Below are 23648 nucleotides of genomic sequence, written 5' to 3'. Positions count from 1 at the left end.
TGTTTTAGGGCCAGACCCAGAAATGCTACACATCTCTGATCACGTTCCTTTGGCCAGAACTCAGTCCTATGTCTACACTTAACTGCAAGAGTGCCAGGAAATGTGTCTAACTTTGTGCCCAAAATGAAGGGGAAGTGTATTTGTAGACAGCTTTGTCCTCTGGTTGCCAATTCTGTTTTACCCTCAATTGACGCATTCTTATTTCTCACTACTGCATATTACCATTCTAGTTCATCCTAAATAGTACCCCAAGTCTAACAATGACATGACCCCATTAAGGTCTACAAAATATTGATCCTGTTACTCATTGTTTCTTACCACTCATATGTCTTCACTTCCCTTCTCACATAGCTTAAATTCTATGGTCCATCATTTTAATCACTCCCTTGTGCACATGCTCAACTCACGTCATCAAATTCACCTGGGAACACCCAATCATGATTAAATCCAAGCAACTGGTTTTTTCTGAGACTGTATCTAGAAAGCTAAATATGACTGCAGAAAAACTCAGAACGAAGCTTGATGATTGCACTCTAAATTCATGAGCACTCACCTCAACTGGGTCTTTAGCATTGCCTGCTAATTGACTAAATGTCTCTAGTCCTTTCCTTCTCTGCCTGTCTTCAAACATAACACCTCCTCATGTGTCATCATTTTTATGATGACCTTGATGTATATGTCCCTGAGAAAACAGAAGAAATGTGAAATCAATTTCCAAAAGCTGCCACCATGGGCATCTCCAACCCACCTGCAACAGTTCCCTCCTAGTATGTACTGAAGCCCTGCATGCTTCCACCTAAGGCAATCTCTCCACCTGTGCACTAAAAAGAGCTAAAACTTACTGAGCACTTACTACATGGCTGGCACTATTTTAAGCTCTACGTGTATTAACTTAATTCTCATTGCAAATCCTATGAGGCTGGTACTGATTTTAGGCCCACTTTACACATAGATAACTAAGGTACACTGACAAGGAACATCCCTTGAGTCCTGCAGCTGATAAATGCCAGGGCTCCGATTTGTCTCCAGAATCCATGCTTTTCACCAAGGAGAATTATAGGAAAAACATTTGACATTTTAGTAAATTACCCTACCAGAGTGAATGGACAGTTACTCTTTTTAAAGAGATGTGTGTGGGGGTTGAGATGGAAGACATGACAAAGGAACAAGGAAAACACCTCCGCCACCTCTTAACAATGAGTCATATGGATGAAAATAAACCAGCCACCACTGGAATAGGCTGCAAAGGAAGCAGTACCTTCAGGGAAGGGGCTGTTTTTAGTTTCGGTAAGGAGGAAGAAAACACTCAGGATGGGTGGGAGGAAAATGAGGCATTTGCACATTGGACATTAACCAAAGCAAACAGGGCTAGGGTGTGACAAGACAAAAATTATTCATGTTCAAGTATTCCCAGAAAAGTGACAGTGATAGGGGGCTAAATATTATAAAACTCAAATTTCTACAGTGAGCAGGTATAACTTGCTGTAACAAATACATCAGTCTCAAGAGGAAAAGCAATACAACCTTTGCAATCAAAGTAAAATCTCACAGGAGAGGTTATCTTAAGCAAAAATAAAACCACTCAACCTCATAACTACAGGATACACGGTAAATATAAATCCTACAAGAAAATATCTTTACCCTCACAAGCCTACTGTTTATATTTTCTTCAAGGTAAATGACTGTTTAATAGTATTTCCGCTTTTACCCTTATCTAAATAGCAAGTTCTTGCTATTAGAAACCTATTTTATGCTCACTGATTCTAATTAGATCGAGCAGAATAAAAAGTCTAGAGCTTACAAATTTTCACTTCTACACAGAACACATGACATAGTCTAGCCCTTGCTCTAAGCCTTTCCTACTTCGACCATCCTGCCACTATAATCTCATCTATTACTGCTTTCTCAATCAGCTTTCTGCCTTGAATATCTCCCTCCCTGCCACTCAACTGCTTAACAAACAGCTTAAGCACCCACCATATTCGGGGCTGTAACACTCGTAACTTTATCTTCTTTCTCTCAATAAGTATATATTTTGGTCTTCCTGTGGCAAACTATAAGCAACTTGAGGGCAGACACTTGCAGTTATCTTGGTAAGCTCACATTTTAGCATATGACAACTTGCACATAGTAGGCACTCAGCTTTTTTTCTGAATAGCTGAGCCAGTGTTATTGCTATCCCTGGAAGCACTGGGTTATTACAGAATAGGCAGAGCGGGCCCTCATATTTAACAAATGAATGAATGAATAGGTGGATGGATATGTGCCTACTCTTAGAACTTCTAGGAAAGTTCAAAGAATTTCCTAATATTAGAAACTATTAGGAAATTAGAAACTATCACAACTGCTAGTTGTGATAACTGTGGTTAAGGAGGAAAAAAAGTTTTATTTTAAGAAATACACATTAAAGTCTTTACAGTGAAATGCCATGAACGTATGAAATTTAAAGTACTTCAACAACAAAACAGATGAAGCAAAATGACAAAATAAACATTGCCATAATAAATCTAGTTATATTCTATACAACTAGTACATCTTAGTCTAGTCTAACACTTAAAATGTAATTGGCAAGATGACAAGAATATGGTAAAAACCTAGAAATTAATCAGATTGCCTTCAGGTAAATCAGTAACAAGTAATATAGATACTCTAATAGGAAAGGATATGACATGCTTGAGAAAGTACAATATAATTTTAAAGTAGCTGAAAATTATTCACACTAGGACAACCAAGGCATGGCATTCTGAACTGCTTGTAGGAAGCAGGTAGGGAATTTCTTATTTAGAAATAAAGTAGTCACGTTTAAGAATAAATTTCACATACTACATGATACCAAAAAATGGGATCATTTATTTCTATTTAGGAAAAATACATTTTTCTTCACATATCTTCTTCAACTTTTCTTGTTTTACATGTAAAATCAGAATGTTCACTGTCATAAATAAATATAAATAAATATTACAAAAGAATAAGATTTACAAATTTGACTATGGACATCTCGATTCAGAAATAATATATAATCTTTTCTTATGTTAATATTGTAGTATCTCTGGATACTTTTAAAGACATTAAGTCAAAGAAGACACCTTTCACAGGCTTTTTCCAAACTCTATTTGTGCAACAAAGGAAGATTCAGTCTTTCATTCTATATTCCTCCCTTATCACCATCAACACCCCTGGTTCACCAGCATGTTTTACCTTTAAAATATTTTGCCAACCCGAAGGAAAGATGAAAATGCCTTACAGCCAAAGATTACTTTATAATGTGGTTCATCTCTCTTTAGCAATTTTGCTTAGAAGAGACTGAATTGGGTTTTTATTTGCTTTTGATATCCAAATAATGTTTTTCATTTTTTATTTCCTTTATAAGTGGAAATAACATTACAGATCTTGTGGAAAAAAATCACTTTCCTTCTCTTTTCCTCGTGATCCCATTCTAAATACGAACAAATCTCTATGCTTTCTTACACTTTTAGGAAAGGAATCACTCTCAATTCTGCAAGTTGTTCTATTTTCAAGAGGTGTAGGTGTGCTAAGAATGTGATTCCAGGACTGCCTTTTTTCTCCTTGCTCTGTTGACATTCCTAACACATCTTAAAGACAATGAAAGCATCCTAAATGAAGAGCACAATTGCATTTATTTTATCCAATATGCAGATAAGTCTAAGAAACTAGGAACAGTCTGTATACTTGTGTGTATTTTCTTCTTAACTCTTCTTTGGCTAAGTCAGCAAGCCCATGGTTACTAGCGTCCCAAGCAAACCTGTCAACGTGAAACACGTGTGCCCTGAAAATTAAAAAAAAAAAAAAAAAAAAGTTAAAATCAAAATGATTTTATTTACTAGTGATAAATATAAATTTTTAGTTACTATGTGATAAATCACCAAAAAGAATCAGTTAATTTGGGGTGCAAAACAAAAAAAATAATGAGTAATAGAATATGGACAAGATTCTACAGGTGGGGTTTATCAGCTACAGCAACAACTAAAATGTGACGTGGAGTTTTTAGTTTCTCGAGTTGAACAGTGGCTAAGCTAGAATGAATTAAGGTACCTTCAGATTAAAAGTCAATGAATTCCTAAGTGTGGGAGATGTTAAAAAAATATAAAAATAAATAAAAACCCCTGAATACTACTACATGTGGAAGAGAAGATTAAGAGATGAAGACACTCAGAAAGTTTTACAGATACATTTACACCAAGTTATTTTTGTGTGATAATTTTGTATAAAGATATGAGATGTCTTTTAAGATCTATAAACATGACCTATAAAAGGATATCTTAGCACATATTATAATTTTTCTTAAACATTGAAAACTCTAAAAGCCACCAAGCAAAAGGAGAAATACAAGGTAGGTCAACCATCTCATGATGCAAATTATCATAATGAAGGCATTCTCTTTAAAAGTCCTAATGTATCATCCCTTTCCCCCCGAATATTTGTGGCATTATAGCATCTAATCGTTACAATAAACTGAGTTCAAAATGTAGGATGAGATGATAAGCATTACTGCTACCAAGTCCAGAACTGACGATATGTCATAGTAATGAGAGATTCAATGTATTAGTCATTCAACAAAGAAAAAAACAACTCTAGTGACAGAGACTTAAGCCTCTATTATCCTTTAAAAGTCATGAAGAACCCCCTAGCCAAGGGTATTAATGGATATTTTGCAAGATACAGAAATGTAATTTTATTAAACCATATATACCTTTTATAATTTACCAGAAAGTCTTATTTCTGAGGTACCACCAGTCACACTTAAATGGTCAAACACAACATTGAGTACTTTGTTGCTCTCATGTGCATTATAAGAGCTGAATAGTAGAGAAGAAAAAAACTATTGAATTGAATTATGTAACTGTCATTTCAATCAAAAAACGAAGTCAGGCATCTGCTTACACTTCCATCCCTAAACTAAAATTTATCATACAGACCTAACTCTTCTAAAAGAAATAAATCAATCCTCTGATAGGCAAACATGAAGAATCATTAAATGAAACCACATTATCACTTGCACATTAACTATATCCTGTCTTAATTAAGATCAAATATTTAATTAAATCAGTATGAAATCAGGAGGCTAGCCAAACATATATAAAGCTAGCTCTTACCCTCAACAGCTTATGTTTCCAAAATAAAGCAAGTGGAGTGTTTTTTATGTGCACATAAAAAAGACAAATTCTTTCTTAGGAGTTTGCATGACTTTCCCTCTAATTCAGAAAATAAGCAATTAAGTTCACTGCAAAACCCCAAAATACAATTCAAAACAAATACATTAGTCTGCTTATCTGTGGTTTCAGTTACCCACAGTCAACTGCAATCTGAAAATAGGTGAGTACAATACAATAAGATATTTTGAGAGAGAGAGAGACCCCATTCACATAACTTTTGCTACAATAAATTGTTCTAATTGATTATTCGTTGGTGTTAATCTCTTACTGTGCCTCATTTATAAATTAAACTTTATCTCATAGGTATGTACATACAGGAAAAAACACAGCATATATAGGGTTAGGCACTATCTGTTGTTTCAAGCATTCACTGGGGGTTCTTGAAACACCCTGCCCCCCAACCGAGGATAAGCAGAAATTACTGTATTCCCTCCTTCGATGTTCCAGTACTTTATGTCCTTAATAGGACATACAAGTATCACAGCCAATCACCTTACCAAAGTATGTAAAGAAACTGATGAAAGCCAAGAGACAGCACCTGGTAAACTTATCACATCTTGCTGCCCTGCCCCCGCCCGCCCTCCGCCCTCCCCCGCCCAGTCTCCATTCCCACCGATCCAGGGAGTCTCAAAGCAGTAGCTTTGGTAAATTGATAATACTCTATACATTGATACTTTATAACTTGATAAACTGATAACAGTATTTCAAAAGGAAAGTTGGAACAAGTACAAGAAAGTACGTAAGATTGGTGGTTTTATTTTTTTTCAGAGTAGCTTTGCTGATGCTTCCATACCAACTCACTTTAGATGACTTAGTACTAACTGTGAGTTTTTGCTAGGCTCTAAATCACATTCCTAAAACGTTTCTGATATATCTGGAGAAAAAGTTATGTCTTACTATATTTGCTATCATGACAGCTAGAATATTTTGTTGATATTAAACAAATGCCTGTAAAAATTATTAATCACTCCCCTGGACCTAATGGTCAAATATTTTTCTACAAGACTGACTCATTTAGTGAGTTAAAGAATATTTACATGCTTTAACTTATAATAGGCTTAAGTAATATTCTTAATTTAAGTAGAAAAATTGTAGAGGGTAAAAAGGAGATAGGTCACATCATCTAAAGAATTAAAACAGACAATTTAATAACAGCATTAAATTAATAGTTTTCTTATTAATGGGAAAAACGGACAGGCATTAGGGCAGCTTAGAAATAACTCAAGTTTGTATAAATTCCACAACTAGTTTTCTGAACAGTTAAAACTACAAAACAGAAGAGGGTCGATTTAAATCATCATCTGTCTACAGGACACATCAGAGCCAATCGTGACATTTATACTTAACATTATGTATATTCAATGCAGATTAGATATTTTAAATAATACTGATGTGTGTGTGTGCTGTTGTTGTTTTAATATCTGAGTGCTTACTATGTGCCAAGCAATGTTCTAAGCACTTGACAGGTGGCAACTCATTTGATATATGATTATAATCATATGAGGTAGGTACTATATTTCCCCCATTTGTCTGCTGCCTTAACCACTGTGCTGTTTTGAGCTGGACTGGCATCTATTAATATAAGTGAGAAAAAGCCCTAATCACAGGCAATTTCACAGTATGTTAGAGGTTGATTTTTCCTAGATTTCTTTGCTTCTGTGCAACACTAGATACTATCATAAATTACACTGAGTGGAAAAAAATCAGTGGATTAATAGATCACAAAATGAGACTTCAAGTCACTTTGCTTTGAAATGCGCCTTTGAATATATTGAGAAAAAACAGACATGAAGTCTGTTAATCCAGGATAGTAATTACAGACAAAAATGAATACAGAGACACGCCAAAATTTAAATAAAGCTAAGAGAGTCATCTACTGATACAGTACCAAATTTTACTGGAAATAAACTAGGAATAAATTTTTAAAAATCATCAGAATTTCTGCTCACTCTGATTTTCCATAGTCCAATGACTAGAATTAGGGTACCAATTAATAGAGTACCAGCAAGAAATCCTTGAAGGGGAAAAGATATGGTAACACAGTTAATAGAAACATGAGCAATTAAAATTACATTATAGTTTCACAATGACATACATACTGGTTATGAAGTGAGTTACAAATAGGAGATATTAATTGCATTTTGTATATGGCTTCCTTATGTCACAAATTTTTGACAAATGCATGTTTTATTTGTCCTGTTTTCTTCGAAAGAAAAAGGAAGAAATATATTTAGAATATCACAATGCTCAAATAAAATTTTTTGACAGGTTTGAGAGGCTTCTTAAGTGTTTCAACCCAATCATGCTCGATTTTAAATGTTTTGATCGTTGAGCATTCAAATATGGTGACAGAATTATGTTATTTTAGAGCTAGAAAGCATCTTAGAGTTCACTTTCATTTTTTAGATGAGTAAATTGAGTCTCAGAAGGAAGTTGAACATTAACATATGTGGTTAATGGGAAGGACATTTACCTAGTTTACAGTAGATATAACAGATATGTAGACATTTCTCCATCACAGGAAATATGCCTGTACTATTATCATCTGAGATTGGAGGGCAAACTATATTTACTTTGCCTACAGAATATGCTTTTTAGTGTTCAGTCTATGGTAGATTAAATTTCATTTCAAAAATTATATTCACTTTTAAGATTCAAAGCACTATTTTGAGCTGAACAACAGCAAATAATTGGTCAAATAAGTTGATCAACATCAAATCATTTTTATAGCTTACACAATCTTTCTTCTCAAATGCACCCATTTGCCCTTTTCTCTCACCATCCTCATTCTCTCTTTCCTCACCAACAGCCCCCCTCCCACCACCACCCCCACCAACCCTGCCCAGTGTCCTTGGACTCAACTCTATTGGTCTTTACTACAAAGGAAATGACAGATGACACTAGAATAGTAACTGAATCTAACGTGACTAATGAGTGTATTTGGCTCCAAATCAGCAAAATAGAGACACTGTACAATTGCACTGCCATGTGAAAATTGTGATTTAAAAAACAGCTATTTCTACCACAGGTAAGTTTTTACAGTATTTTACTTTAGAAGTTTATTTAACTGATCCCCTAGAATTGTATCATTAACTTAGAGAGACTATCCATGAAATAAATCACAGCTCCTAAAAAATTTTGGGTTTCCCCCTTTCTGTCACCAGTTCCCACTAATTCCACCACTTTCAATATCTTATTTTTTATTTGAATACTAAATCAAGACAGAAAATTCAGAGTGATCTAGAACATCCAGATGACAGAAGTAAAAGGCTATTCCCAGAACAATGCTCAACACATATACATAGTTCTAGAAGAAAGTGTAGAGGCTGATGGTTTAACAGAAAACCAAGGCAAAACACAGAAATATGAAAAACAAAATTCTACGTATCTTCTCAGTAAATTAATAAGAGCATATTATCTCCCAAATTAGAAACAAAACTTTCAGGTTCAAAGGCAACTGTTTATGATCTCAAAATTCACTTGGTATCTACAGAAAACCAAAGGTGAATCAACATTAAGATTTATACAACTTGGGAAAAATGAAAGTATGAAATAATGAATGAAATAATAATTATGATTCCAATGTTCCTAAGATTAAACTGAAGAGCTCTTAGGTGGGAAAATAACATAATGTTAGAAAAAGGTTTTCTCCCCCACAAAAGGAGTATTTTAGTAAGGTTCCCCATCATGTAGAACTGTATTGCAGTGTTGAAAACATTGCAAAGCAGTTTGCCACCTATTATCTCATTTGATCACCTCTCATTATTAACACAGTACATGGCAAACAGTAGAAAGTGTTTAACAAATATTTATTAAATTGCACTTAATATCTTGTTTCCAGATAAGAAAACTGAGACCAAGAAAGGGTAAGTCAGTTTATTGCCATAGAAAAACTCACTTCTAGCCCCAGATTCAGGCCATAATTTTAACTGTTTGAAATATTTTCAATAAAATACCTGATATTCATCAAACAAAATTTACATTAGACAGATACTACATTAATATATAGGGTATCATCTTCACTGCCAAAGAACCCAACTTAGAATTCTATCTACCTACCTCCAAGAACTGGAGTGACCTAGAGGATGCACATCATCTTTTTTGAAGAAATGTGGGATGACCCAGACACTTCAAAAGGTCTAACTTGCAGAGCTAACAAAGTGGAAATGCAATGCATGTGCTATGAAAACAAAAAGTTATGGAAAGGTTTTGTTCTTGCTTATATCATACTTAATGTAACAGAATAAAGGGCCTGTGGACAAGTGAAGGCACCCTGGGAAGAGATTTTCGTAGATGATTTGAAAAACAGTATGCTTGAGTAACCCTTAAATTTTCCATTTTGTAAATGCAGATTCAACTCTGCTTCCTCAGAGAGACATCCACAGGACCCTTTAAGTGTCTTGCCATCATCGTTGGATTTTCTGTACCTCTGTATTTCTTCAATTTTTTTAATAAGGGAAATTCACATACTTCCTTTTCCAGACTAAACGTATCACAGAAAGATTATATGATTATATTATCTGACTTAAACCTGAATAACAGGCAGATAACTGATGTCACTTTATAATGGGACTTAAGTTTGTCATGTATAGGGGCATGTAATAAGACATAAAGACCCCTGTAACCACATCTTATTAACTTCAAATAGCTACTTAAGAGTCAAGACTCTTGAAAGTACATTTAGATTTGGGCTAGTCTGTAATATATGCCATATTCAAGTTTAAAGGATAAATAAGTACACAATTGTTAGGGGATACAGAAAAAATATTTTCTATATTTCACTGAATATTTCCTGACTTCTTATTTATTATTCTTTAAATTGATCTATTAGTCCCCATGAGGGACTTATGAATGTCTCAGTATAGGACTTTGGCAACAGAGGGGAATAAAGCAATACTTGTAGGGAATCACGGCACCTTAATTGTCCAATTTGGGTTGTATTGTCTCTTGGTCTGTCACTAGGATGAGCATCTTTCTATCTTTTAAAGTACCTGGGAAGATCACTTGAGCCTGGGAAACAGAGGTTGCCGTGAGCCGAGATTGCACCACTGCACACCAGCCTGGGTGACAGAGTGAGACCCTGTCCCCCATCCAAAAAAAAAAAAAAAAAAAAAAAAACCTGGTAATAGAGAAACTAGTCATCGGCCTCTATTTATTGCCTACTAGCTCTGTGAAAGGCAAGTTACAAATTTTGCAAAACCACAGTTATCTTAGCTGAAAATGGGATAAAAATGCTACATTATAAGATTGTTGTGAGAAGAATATGAAATAATACATTAAAAAAAATCAGTACAGTACTTGCCACAGAGAAAACATGTAAATATTACCTGAATAAAAGACTGTTCTTATTCTTTGGTGTGGCCAGAGGGAGTGATGAAATTATCAGAAATCCAGCTTAGGAAAATAATAGTGATTGCATGCAGTGACTTCCTTAAGCTAATATTTATTCAACTTTTAGGACTGTGCTTGGAGTTTTCATACCCACTAATCACATTAAGCTTCAAATACTTCACATAGGAATCACAATCTCTATCTCTTAAATGAGAAAACTGAGTCTCAGAGAGATTAAGTTAATCACTTAATCACTTGGGTTGAATAATTACTAAGTGAAAAAAACAGGATTCAAACCAACATCCGACTGGTTTGACTCCAGAGGTTAAGCTCTTTCTTCTATATGATTTTGTCTTTAAAAACAATAAAAACAAAACCAACAGAAAGCAAGCATTCTCAATGGGGGTGATACCTGATGAAAGTTAAAAAAAAATTTTCCTTTTTTAAGTACAGAGTGCAGATATATATGTGATACATAAACTGATTTACAGTATATGTGTGGTGGAGGATGATCAAAAAAAAATGTCTAAAAAGGTCTTTGGTGAGAAGAGAGCAAGAATTAACGCACCCCCCACCCCCCACAAAAAAAAATTGGGAAACACTTATACAAAGCCAACGGAAGAAAAGATTTAAAATTCACAACACATGCTTCATTTACAAGGCAAATTAGAAAGTTCTGTAACATTAGTCAGTCTTTCTTCCTTAGCAGAATAGGAAAAAAAAATCAAATACTTCCAAAATTCAAAGATCATCTGTATCATTTTACTTACATTGCAGTGTAATTGATGAAACAATTTTCTTGCAGTAGAGTTAATTTATCTTTAAAGAAGAGTAACCTCATTCACATAATAAATTTAATGAATATAATTTTCAGGTTTATGTCCTACAAATATGAAATCACACACAAAAAATGTTGCCATATGTCCAGTTTAAGAAGGAAGGACTTCCTCTTTATTTTTTAACACAAGCTGGAATGCCGACTAAGGAAAGTTTTCTAGAAAATCAAAGGGTATAATACTTAAAGAATTTCAGGAAAAAAAGGCATTTCAAACCTTCATTGAGTGCCATTGAGCAGGTGAGAAAAAACTCATTTATTAAACTCATCACTTTTGTGATCATTAAATCATCAGACTTTCATTTGAAACACATTTATTTCTATTTAAAACAAAGTGAATTCCAACAGTTGGAATCTTTCAAGATAAATCTTTTAGCTTAGAAGTTCATTCAAAATATAAAATAACCACAATAAATAATAATGATAGTAATGATAATGTTTTTATTACTCTTTTCAGATCCAACACTGGATCATCCAGATTCATAAGACAAGTTCTTAAAGACCTATGAAGAGATGGAAATAACCACACAATATAGTGGGAGACTTCAACACCCCATTGACAATGTTAGACACATAATCAAGGCAGAAAACTAACAAAGATATTCATGACCTAAACTTGACACTTGACCAAATGGACTTAACAGACATCTACATAACATTACACCCAAGAACAACAGGATATACATTCTTCTCATCTGCACATAGCACATACTCTAAGATTGACCACATGCTCAACCATAAAGCAATTTTAAACAAATTCAAAAAACCAAAATCATACTAACCATACTCTTAGGCCACAGCATAAAATATAAATCAATACCAGGAAGATCTCTTAAAACTATACAATAACATGGAAATTAAACAACCTAATCCTGAATGACTTTTGGCATTCTGAAAATTAAGGCAGAAATCAAGAAATTCTTTGAAACTAGTGAAAACAAAGATACAACATACCAGAGTGTCTGGGACACAGCCAGAACAATGTCAAGAGGAAAGTTTGTAGCATTAAACACCTACATCAAAATGTTAGAAAAATCTCAAATTAACAAAGTAACATCACCTCTAGAGGATGTAGAAAAAACAAGAGCAAACCAACCCAAAAGCTAGCAGAAGAAAAAAAATAACCAAAATCAGAGCTGAACTGAATAAAATTGAGATGCAAAAATCCATACAAAAGATCAACAAAACCAAAGCTGGTTTTTTGAAAGAATAAATAAGATTGATAGACAACTAGCTAGATTAATAAAGAGAGAGAACATCCAAATAAACACAATCTCAGATGACAAAGGGGACATTACCACCAACCCCACAGAAATACAAAACACCCTCAGAGACTATTTTGAACACCTCTATGTACATAAACTAGAAAACGTAGAAGAAATGGTAAATTCTTGGAAAAATACAACCTCCTAAGATTGAACCAGGAAGAAATTAAATACCTGAACAGACCAATAACAAGTTCTTAAATTGAATCAGTAATTTAAAAAACCTACCAACCAGAAAGAGCCCTGTACCAGATGGATTCACAGACAAATTCCACCAAACATACAAACAAGAGCCGGTACCAATCATACTGAAACTATGCCAAAAATCAAGGAGGAGGGACTCCTCATTCTATAAGGCCAGCATCACACTGATACCAAAATCTGGCAAAGAGACAGGACAAAAAAAGAAAACTTCAGGCCAACATCCCTGATGAAAGTAAATGCAAAAATCCTCAACAAAATACTAGCAGATCAAATCCAGCAGCACATCAAATACCTAACTTACCACGATCAAGTAGGCTTTATTCCTGGGATGCAAGGTTGGCTCAACATATCCAAATCAATAAATGTGATTCATCACATAAACAGAACTACAAACAAAAAAACCACATGATCATCTCAATTGTTGTAGAAAAGGCTTTTGACAACATTCAACATCCCTTCATGTTAAAAGTCATCAACAAACTAGGCATCAAAGGAACATACCACAAAATAATAAGAGCCGCCAGGAAAAACCCACAGCCAACATCATACTGAATGAGCAAAAGCTGGAAGCATTCACCTTGAAAACCAGTACAAGACAAGGATGTCCATTATTATCATTCCTATTCAACATGGTACTGGAAATCCTAGCCACAGCAATCAGGCAAGGAAATAAAAGGCATCCATATAGGAAGAGAGGAAGTAAACTATCTCTCTTCACAGATGATATGAGTTTAAACCTAGAATACTCCATAGTCTGCCCAAAAGCTTTTAGAACTGTTAAACAACATCAGTAAAGCTTCGGGGTACAAAAATCAGAAGCATTTCTATACACCAACAATGTCAAGCTGACAGCCAAATCAAGAATGCAATCCTATTCACAATAGCCACAAAAGGATAAAATACCTATGAATACAGCTAACCAGGGAGGTGAATGATCTCTATAGAGAAATACAAAACAAAGAAGACAGAGACAATACAAACAAATGGAAAAATATTCCATGCTCATGCATAGGAAGAATAAATATTTTTAAAAGGGCCATACTGCGGGCATGGTGGCTCATGCCTGTAATCCCAGCACTTTGCAAGGCTGAGGCAGGTGGATCACTTGAGGTCAGGAGTTTGAGACTAGCTTGGCCAACATGGTGAAACCTCATCTCTACTAGAAATACAAAAATTAGCTGGGTGTGGTGGTGTGCACCTGTAATCGTAGCTACTTGGGAGGCTGAGGCAAGAGAATCACTTGAACCCAGGAGACGGAGGTTGCAGTGAACCAAGATCATGCCACTGCACTCCAGCCTGAGTGACAGAGTGAGACTCTGTCTCAAAAAAAAAAAAAATTAATACAAAATTTTTAAAAAGGGCCATACTGCCTAAAGCAATTTATAGATCCAATGCTATTCCTATCAAACTACCAATGATATCTTTCAGAGAATTAAAAAATATACATTCTAAAATTCATATGGAATCAAAAAAGAACCCAAATAGCCAAAACAACCGTAAGTAAAAAGAACAAAGCTGGAAGCATCACACTACCTGATTTCAAACTATATTACAAGGCTACAGTAACCAAAACAGCATGGTACTGGTACAAAAATAGACACATAGACCAATGGAAGAGGTTAGAAAACCCAGATATAAAGCCACACCCCTACAACCATCTGATCTTCAATGAAGTCGACAATAACAAGCAATGGGGAATGGATTCTCTATTCAATAAATGCTATAACTGGCTAGCCATATGCAGAAGATTGAAAATGGACCCCTACCTTTCACCATATACAAAAATCAACTCAATATGGATTAAAGAATTAAACTTAAAACCTAAAAGTATAAAAACTCTAGAAGAAAACCTAGGAAATACCATTCTGACATAGGTGTTGGTAAATATTTCATGATGAGGTCTCCAAAAGCAATTGCAACAAAAACAAAAATTGACAAGTGGGACATAATTAAACTAAAGTGCTTCTGCATGGCAAAAAAATATATATCAACAGAGAAAACAGACAACCTACAGAAAAGGAGAAAATATTTGCAAACTATGCATCTAACAAAGTTCTAATATTCAAAATCTCTAAGGAACTTAAACAAATCAACAAACAAAAATCAAACCAACCCTTAAAAAATGGGCAAAGGACATAAACAGACACTTCTCAAAAGAAGACATACATGAGGCCAACAAGCATATGAAAAAAATGCTCAACATCACTAATCATTAGAGAAATGCAATCAAAACCACAATGAGATACCATCTCATAGCAGACAGAATGGCTATTATTAAAAAGTGAAAAAATAACAAATGTTGGTAAGGTTGTGGAAAACAGAGAACACTTATACATTGCTGGTGGGAATGTAATTAGTTCAGCCTCTGTGGAAAGCAGTTTGGAGATTTCTCAAAGAACTTAGAACCACCATGTGACCTAGCAATCTCATTATTGGGTATATACCCAAACCAACAAAAATCATTCTACCATAAAGACATATGCACACATATGTTCATCAGCACTTTTCACAATAACATGGAATCAACCTAGATGCACATCAGTGGTGAACTGGATAAAGAAAATGTGGTATATATACACCACGGGATATTACACAAACATAGAAAGGAATGAAATCATGTCCTTTGCAGTAATATGGATGCAGCTGGAAACCATTATCCTAAGTGAATTAATGCAGGAACAGAAAACCAAATACTGCATCTTCTCACCTATAAGTGGGAACTAAACAATGAGTACACATGGATGCAAAGAAGGGAACAATGGCCACCAGGGCTTATTTGAGAATGGAAGGTGGGAGGAGGGTGAGAATCAATAAACTACCTATTGGGTACTAAGCTCACTACCTGGGTGATGAAATATTATGTACACTCAACCCTAATGACACACAATTTACCCATGTAACAAACCTTCACCTGTACCTCCCAAACCTAAAATAAAAGGTGGAAGAAAAAAAATGTGTTTACCTGGCCAGGTGCGGTGGCTCACGCCTGTAATCCCAGCACTTTGGGAGGCCGAGGCAGGCAGATCTCGAGGCCAGGAGATCAAGACCATCCTGGATAACACGGTGAAACACCGTCTCTACTGAAAAATACAAAAAATTAGCCGGGTGTGGTGGCAGGCGCCTATAGTCCCAGCTACTTGGGAGGCTGAGGCAGGAGAATGGCGTGAACCCGGGAGGCAGAGCTTGCAGTGAGCCGAGATCACGCCACTGCACTCCAGCCTGGGTGACAGAGCGAGATTCCGTCTAAAAAAAAAAAAATGTGTTTACCCATTTTCCCTTTGGTATCCATGAATGCTACATGTTGATTGTTTTCCTAAGACAGTATCATGGGGAGTGGCTTCAAGATGTCTGACTAGATGCCTCTGGTCTTCTCCTCTTCCATGGAGAGAAACCTAAGCAGGAATTACATAATCACATTTTGAAGAGATCATCAAAGAGAGAACACTAGAATTTAACAAACAAGTGACAGGATGCACCAAAGCAAGGAAGGAGACAGAAGCAAGGCAGCCTGTTTGGCTGAGATTGCCTGGAAGCCTGGAGAGACTCCCTAATGCAGGAAAAGAGTAAGTGAGAGAACCCCAGCAGTCCACATTCCCTCTGAAGACTCCCACAATCCTAGCTACAGGAGTCCCTTGATTCTCGTAGGCTCTAGATCTAACATAGGAAGCTGCCTGGAGACAGTGTGATGGCATTACTCCAGAGAGTAAGTTCACACTGAGTACTATAAACCACTGAGTCCTAAGCAGCCACAGCACAAGACTATTTTGAGAGCCCAGCCCCTCCCAGACTGCATCTTGCTCTGTGGCCACTGTTGCCTAAGCCAAAGCAGGAGCCACTGGCAGCGACCTGACACCCCCAATAGAGGAGCAGCCAGGCATTTTCTGGTTCCCTGAGGACAAATTCCAGTGCATGCGGCTATGGCTGCTGCTGGCTGCTTTGGGCTGAGGCATGAGCAAACTGCATGTGCCCCAGCCACCTCTCTGTGGCTGCTCCCAACTGAAAACAACACTGCTGTCCCAAGTAGCTGGTCCACAGCACAGCCACACTGTCCTCACCTAAGCATTCCACCAGTAGCCTAGGAATACTCTACCTCTTCCTACCACAGCCAGCACTCACATGCACCACAGGGAGGCCTGAGGACAAGTCCATCTGGCCCAGCGTCACCCTCTCAGTACACAAGCCTGCCATCAGGTACCCGGATGCTCAGCCAGTCCACCACCAATAGCAGCTGAGCACTCTTCCTGGTGTCTGAAGTCAGGCCCACTCAACCTGCCACTAACATCACAGCTGGTAAGCCACCTGCAGACCTGGAAACTGATCCACCCAATCACCGCACCCACAGCCAACACTGGCACAGACTGCTTGTGTCCCACAGGGTTGTCCCACCACTACTACTGCCATCACCCATGCCCCCACTTGCTGCCAAGTAGCCTGAGAACCAGGTCACCCGCCATTTCTGGCACCCAAGTGAGCCACCTGGAGACCCAATAACTGGCCTGATTGGGCTTGCTAACACTGGTGCCAGCAACATCACCCTGGGCCCAAGGACAGGCAAACTCAGCCCACCACTGCCAACACTTGGGTCCGAACATTGGCCCACATGGCATCCTATTCCCTAGCAAATCTCCACTAGTAACCGCATCCTAAAGCACTGAGGAAATGACAGATACCACTGATGATATTTACAGCTGAAAGTCATACAGAAACTACACTACTGCATGCACCCAGAATTAAAGCCAAAGTGCCCCACCTAACTGACACCATAAATACATCTTCAGGAAAAGTCCTCCCCTACAAAAGCAAATTTGAAAAATTAGAAACAGCAAATATCACATCAGATGCACAGATATCAACTTCAGGATGCAGGAAACGTGAAAAAACAAGAAAATATGATACCACCAAAGGAACACAATAATTCTCCAGCAACAGATCCCAATCAAAAGTAAACTTACAAAATTCTGGGAAAAGAATTCAAAGTTGTGATATTAAAAAAGCTCAGGGAGGTGAGATACAAACTTTAAAATTTGTTTTAAAAAAATACAAAGAAATCAGAAAAACAATTCAGGATATTAATGAGATGTTTATCAAAAAAAGATACATATAAAAGAACCAAACAACTTCTGGAAATAATTTATTGATGAAATACATAATATACTTGATGAAATATTAAATACATAATATACTTGAAAGCATCAATAATAGGCTAGATCAAGCAGAAGAAAGAATCTCAGAACTTGAAGACAGGTCTTTTGAGATAACACAGTCAGATAAGAATAAGGAAAAAAGAATAAAAAAATGGGCAAAGTTTACATGACATATGGGACACCCTAAAGTGGCCAACTATTCAAATTTTAGGAGTCTCAGAAGGTGAAGAGAAAGTGAAAGGATTAGAAAATCTATTACTAAAACAACAGAGGAAAATTTCTCAAGTCTAACAAGAAATGTAGACATCCTGACACAGGAGGCTCAGAGATCACCAAGTAGATACAATTTAAAAAGGTCTTCTCTGGCCCGGTGCGGTGGCTCATGCCTGTAATCCCAGCACTTTGGGAGGCCGAGGCAGGTGGATCACCTGAGGTCAGGAGTTCGAGACCAGACTGGCCAACATGGTGAAACCCTGTCTCTATTAAAAATACAAAAATTAGATGGGTGTGGTAACACACACCTGTAATCCCAGCTACTACTCAGGAGGCTGAGGTGGGAGAATCGCTTGAACTTGGGAGGCAGAGGCTGCAGTGAGCTGAGATTGCGCCACTGTACTCCAGGCTGAGTGACAGAATGAGACTCTGTCTCAAAACCAAAAAAAAAAAAAGGTTTTCTCCATGACAAACTATACTCAAACTGTCAAAAGTCAAAGACAGAGAGAGTTCTAAAAACAGCAAGGGAAAAGCATCTAGTCACTTATAAAGGAAACCCATCAGACTAACAATGGATTTCTCAGCAGAAACCTTACAGGCCAGGAGAGAACGGGATGATATACTCAAAGCGCTGAAAGAAAAAGACTACCAACCAAGGATTAGGAAAGTTATCCTTCATAAATGAAGGAGAAACAATGTCTTTCCCAGACAAAAGAAAGCTGATGGAATTAATCACCATGATGGAATTCATCACCATGAGATGGCTTACAAGAAATGCTTAAGGGAGTGCTATACCCAGAAGAGAAAGAATGATATCTACAATCATGAAAACACACAGAAATTTTAAAAACCACTGGTAGAGCAAACACACAAAGAAGAGAAAAGACTAAAATGTTATGAAAGAAAAACTCTACATCACAATAATAAGAGAGAACAAAAGGAACAAAACAACCAGAAATCAATTAATAAGATGACAGGAATAATTCCTCACATATCAATAACCCTGAATGTAAACAGATTAAACTTTCCTCTTAAAAGATGTATACTGGCTGAATGGATGCAAAAACACAACCCAACTATACGTTTCTTTCAAGAAATTCATCTCATCTGTGAAAACACATTGTGACTGAAAGTAAAGAGATGGAAAAAGATACTCCATGCTAACACAAACCAAAAACAAACAGGAGTAGCTGTACTTATATCAGATGAAACAGACTTTAGGTAAAAAACAGTAAAAAGAGACAAAGGAGGTCATTATATAATTGACAAAGAGATCAATTCAGCAAGAGGATATAACAATTCTAAGTATGTATGCACCCAATCCTGGAGTACCCAAACATATAAAGCAAATATTGTCCAATCTAAAGGGATAGACTCCAATACAATAATTGTTAAGAACTTCAACATCCCACTGTCAGCATTAGCTCATCTGGACAAAAAATTCACAAAGAAACATTGGATTTAAATTGCACATTAGACCAAATGGACCTAACAGACACTAACAGAAGAGTTCACCCAATAGCTACAGAATTTTCTCAATGGCACATGAAACAATCTCCAGAATAGAACATATGTTAGGATACCAAACAAGTCTCAATAAATTTGAAAAAGTCAAAATTGTATCAAGTATCTTCTCAAACCATAATGGAATTAAACTAGAAATTAATAACAACAGGAACTTTGGAAACCGTACAAATAAATGAAAATTAAACAACATGCTTCTGAATGACCATTAGGTCAAGGGAGAAATTCAGGATTAGACAAAAAATTTCTTGAAAAAATAGAAATGGCAACAGTGTAGCAAAACTTATCAGACATAGCAAAAGCAGTGCTAACAGGGAAGTTTACAGCAATAAATGATTACATCAAAAAAGTAGAAAGATTTCAAATAAACAATCTAACAATGCATCTTAAGGAACTAGAGAAGGAAGAACAAACCAACCCCAAAATTAGCAGAAGGAAAGAAGTAAGAAAAATCAGAGCAGAGCTAAACAAAATAGAGACTAAAAAACAATAAAGTGAAAACTTGTTTTTTTGAAAAGATAAACCAAACTGATAAAGTACTTGCTAGACTAACCAAGAAAAAAAGAGAGAAGCCCCAAATAAAATCAGAAATGAAAAAAGAGACATTACAACTGATACCACAGAAATACAAAATATCAGAGACTATTATAAACACCTATACATTGACAAACTGGAAAACCTAGAGGAAATGAATAAATTCTTGGAGACATGCTCCCTATCAAGACTGAGTCAGGAAGAAACAGAAAATCTGAACAGACCAATAATGAGTAGTAAGACTGAATTGTAATAAAAAGTCTCCTGACAAAGAAAAGCCCAGGACTGGATGGATTCAAAGCCAAATGCTACCAAACATACAAAAGAGAACTAATACCAATTCTCCTGAAACAATTCCAAAAAATTGAAGAGGAGGAAACTTTCCCTAACTCATTCTATAAGGCCAGCATTACCCTGATACCAAAACCAGACAAGAACACAACAAGAACAACAAAATCACAGGCCAATACTCTTGATGAATATAGACACAAAAATTCTCAGCAAAGTATTAGCAAACCAAATCCAACACCACATCAAAAAATTAGTATGCCAAGACCAAGTGGGATTTCGACCAGGGATGCAAGGATGATTCAACACATAGAAATCAATAAAACTCTCAACAAACTAGGCATAGAAGAAGCATATTAACATCATAAAGGTCATACATGACAAACCCACAGCTAATATTCTGTTGAATGAGGAAAAGCTGAAAGCCTTTCTTCTAAGAACTGGATCAAGAGAAGGATGTCTACTTTCACCACTTCTATTCAACATAATGCTGTAAGCCCTAGTTTCCATTTCATTGAAGAACCAAGTTTCATTTGGCTCATAGAGAACCAAGTTTTCATTTATTAACTTGCAGCCAGGCAAAAGAAAGAAATAAAAGGCATCCAAACTGGAATAGAGGAAGTCAAATTGTCCCTCTTTTTTAATGATACGATTTTATATGTAAAAAAAAATCCTTAAAGACTTCACCAAAAACTCTTAGATCTGATAAATTCAGTACAGTTGCAGGAAACAAGATCAACATACAAAAATCAATAACATTTCTATACAATAATGAACAAACTGAGAAAGAAATCAAGAAGGCAATTCCATTGACAATAACTAAAAAAATAAATAAAATACCTAGGAACAGATTTAACTAAGGAGGTGAAAGACCCCTACAAGGAAAACTACAAAACATAGATAAAAGAAATCGAAGAGGGCACAAAGGGAAAGACATCCCATGCTCACGGACTGGAAGAGCTATTATTGTTAAAATGACTACACTGCCAAAGCAATCTAAAGATTCAGTACAACCCCTATCAAGATATCAATGCCATTTTTCACAGAAATAGAAAAAAAAAAGTCCTAAAATGATTGTGGAACCAAAAGAGTCCAAAGAGCTAACACAACCCGAGCAAAAACAAAGCTGGCAGCATCACGCTACCTGACTTCAAAATATAAGGTTATAGTAACCAAAAACAGCATGGTATTGGTATAAAAACAGGCACACAGAATAATGGAACAGAATAGAGAACCCAGAAATAAATCCACATATTTATAGCTAACTGATTTTTTTACAAAGGTGCCAAGAACATACATTGGAAAATGGATACCTTCTTCAATAAATAGTGCTGGGAAAATACAGAAGAATGAAACTGGACCTCTGCCCCTCACCATGTACAAAAATCAAATCGAGATGATTAAAAACTTAAACATAAGATCCACAACTATAAAAATACTAGAAGAAAACATCAGGAAGATGCTACAGGACATTAGTCTAGGCAAAGGTTTAATGGCTAAAACCTCAAAAGCATAGACAATAAAAACAAAAATAGATAAATAGGACTATATTAAACTAAAAAGCTTGTGTACAGCAAAGGAAACAATCAACAGAGTGAAGAGACAACCTGCTAAATGGAAGAAAATATCTATAAACTATTCATCTGTAAAGGTACTAATATCCAGAATATACAACGAACTCAACTTACTAGCGAAAAACAAATAATCACACTAAAAAGTGGGCAAAAGACATGAACAGACATTTCTCAGCAGGTATATGAAAAACTGCTCATCACTAATCATCATGGAAATGCAAATCAAGCTCCACAATGAGCTATCAGTTCTTAACCTCAGTTAGAATGGCCATTTTTAGACAAAAAATAACAGACGCTGGTGAGGACGTGAAGAAAAGGGAAATCTTATATACTGTTGGTGAGAATGTAAATTAGTACAACCACTGTGGAAAACAATATGGAGGTTCCTGAAAACATAAAAAAATATAACTATCTTAGGATCCAGCAATCCCACTACTGGGTATTTATCCAAAGGAAAATAAAACCAATATATCAAAAAGATATGTGCATTCACATATTTATTGAAGCACTATTCACAATAGCAAAGATATGGAATCATCTTAAGTGTCCATCAATGTACAAATGGATAAAGAAAATGTGGGGCCAGGTGCAGTGGCTCACACTTATAATCGCAACGTTTTGGGAGGCCGGAAAAATCGCTTACGGCCAGGAGTTTGAAACCAGCCTGGGCAACATAGGAAAATCCTGTCTCTACAAAAAATAAATTTCAAAAACTTAGCCGGGTGTCGTGGCACACACCTGTAGTACCAGCTACTTGGGAGGCTGAAGTGGAAGGATCGCTTGAACCCAGGAGTTCGAGACTGCAGTGAGCTACGATCACACCACCGCATACCAGCCTGGGTGACAGGACGAGAACCTGTCTCAAAAAAAAAATAAAAATAAAAAAAAGAAAAGAAAGAAAACAAATCTAGCATATATAGAATGAAATACATTCAGCCATAAAAAGAATAAAGTTATGTCATTTGCAGCAACATGAATGGAACTAGAGGCCATTATATTAAATGAAATAAGCCAAGCAAAAAAGACAAATATCACATGCTCTTACTCACATGTGAGACCTAAAAAAGTTCTCATGGAGGTAGAGAGAAGAATGTTAGATACCAGAGGCTGAGAAAAGTGTGTGAGTAGGAGGGAGGATGAAGAGACTTTGGCCGATGGGTATAAACATACAATTAGATAGAAGGATTACATTCTAATATTCAATAGCAGAGTAGGGTGAGTATAGTTAGCAATAATGTGTGATATATTTTTCATAGTCACTAGAAGAAAGGACCTAAAATGTTTCCAACACACAAAAATAATACTCAAGGTGATGAATACCCCAAATACCAACTTGAGAATCACACAGTCCATGCATGTAACAAAATATCACATGTACCTCATAAATATATAAAACATTATGTATCAATTAAAAAATTATAAGATAATCAGGGAAGTTTGGATATTGACTAAATATTTGCTGATATTAAGGAATTACTGGATTTTTTTAGGTATGCTACATGGTTATGTTTTTATAAAGGTTACTTAGTGAAATGTTTATGAAGGAAATGATACGATGTCTG

At 36.1% G+C, this 23648-nt stretch overlaps 1 protein-coding gene across 7 annotated transcripts in view, besides 1 other annotated feature; it reads right to left on the bottom strand.

Annotated features, from left to right (window-relative positions):
- The window catches only part of CD55 (CD55 molecule (Cromer blood group)), a 39289-nt gene continuing 18007 nt past the window's right edge, over window positions 2367-23648 (bottom strand). The window contains exons 10-12 of one of the 7 annotated variants that reach the window (XR_007095644.1): window positions 22825-22942; window positions 16077-16201; window positions 11762-15886 (exon numbers count right to left, since the gene is read on the bottom strand). Coding sequence is in view for 5 of the 7 variants with exons in the window: in NM_001300902.2 (NP_001287831.1) it covers window positions 22689-22942 (254 nt within the window). In the remaining 2 variants the exon portion in view is untranslated. Of the gene's footprint in view, window positions 3788-9233; window positions 9327-11761; window positions 15887-16076; window positions 16202-22566; window positions 22943-23648 lie in introns of those variants that run through there. The other 6 variants (NR_125349.2, NM_001114752.3, NM_001300903.2 and 3 more) reach the window with 6 other exon arrangements.
- Window positions 16487-16987: an enhancer, noted in NCBI's record as "H3K4me1 hESC enhancer chr1:207519691-207520191 (GRCh37/hg19 assembly coordinates)". NCBI's record gives its function as "activates a minimal SCP1, AML or CMV promoter by ChIP-STARR-seq in naive H9 embryonic stem cells {active_cell/tissue: H9 hESC(naive)}" and the evidence as "EXISTENCE:reporter gene assay evidence [ECO:0000049][PMID:30033119]".

This window comes from Homo sapiens, chromosome 1 (genome assembly GCF_000001405.40).
Source record: "Homo sapiens chromosome 1, GRCh38.p14 Primary Assembly".
Classification (NCBI taxonomy): domain Eukaryota; kingdom Metazoa; phylum Chordata; class Mammalia; order Primates; family Hominidae; genus Homo; species Homo sapiens.
The sequence above is the reverse complement of the archived record's forward strand: the minus strand, read 5'-3'. Positions and strand labels throughout refer to the sequence as shown.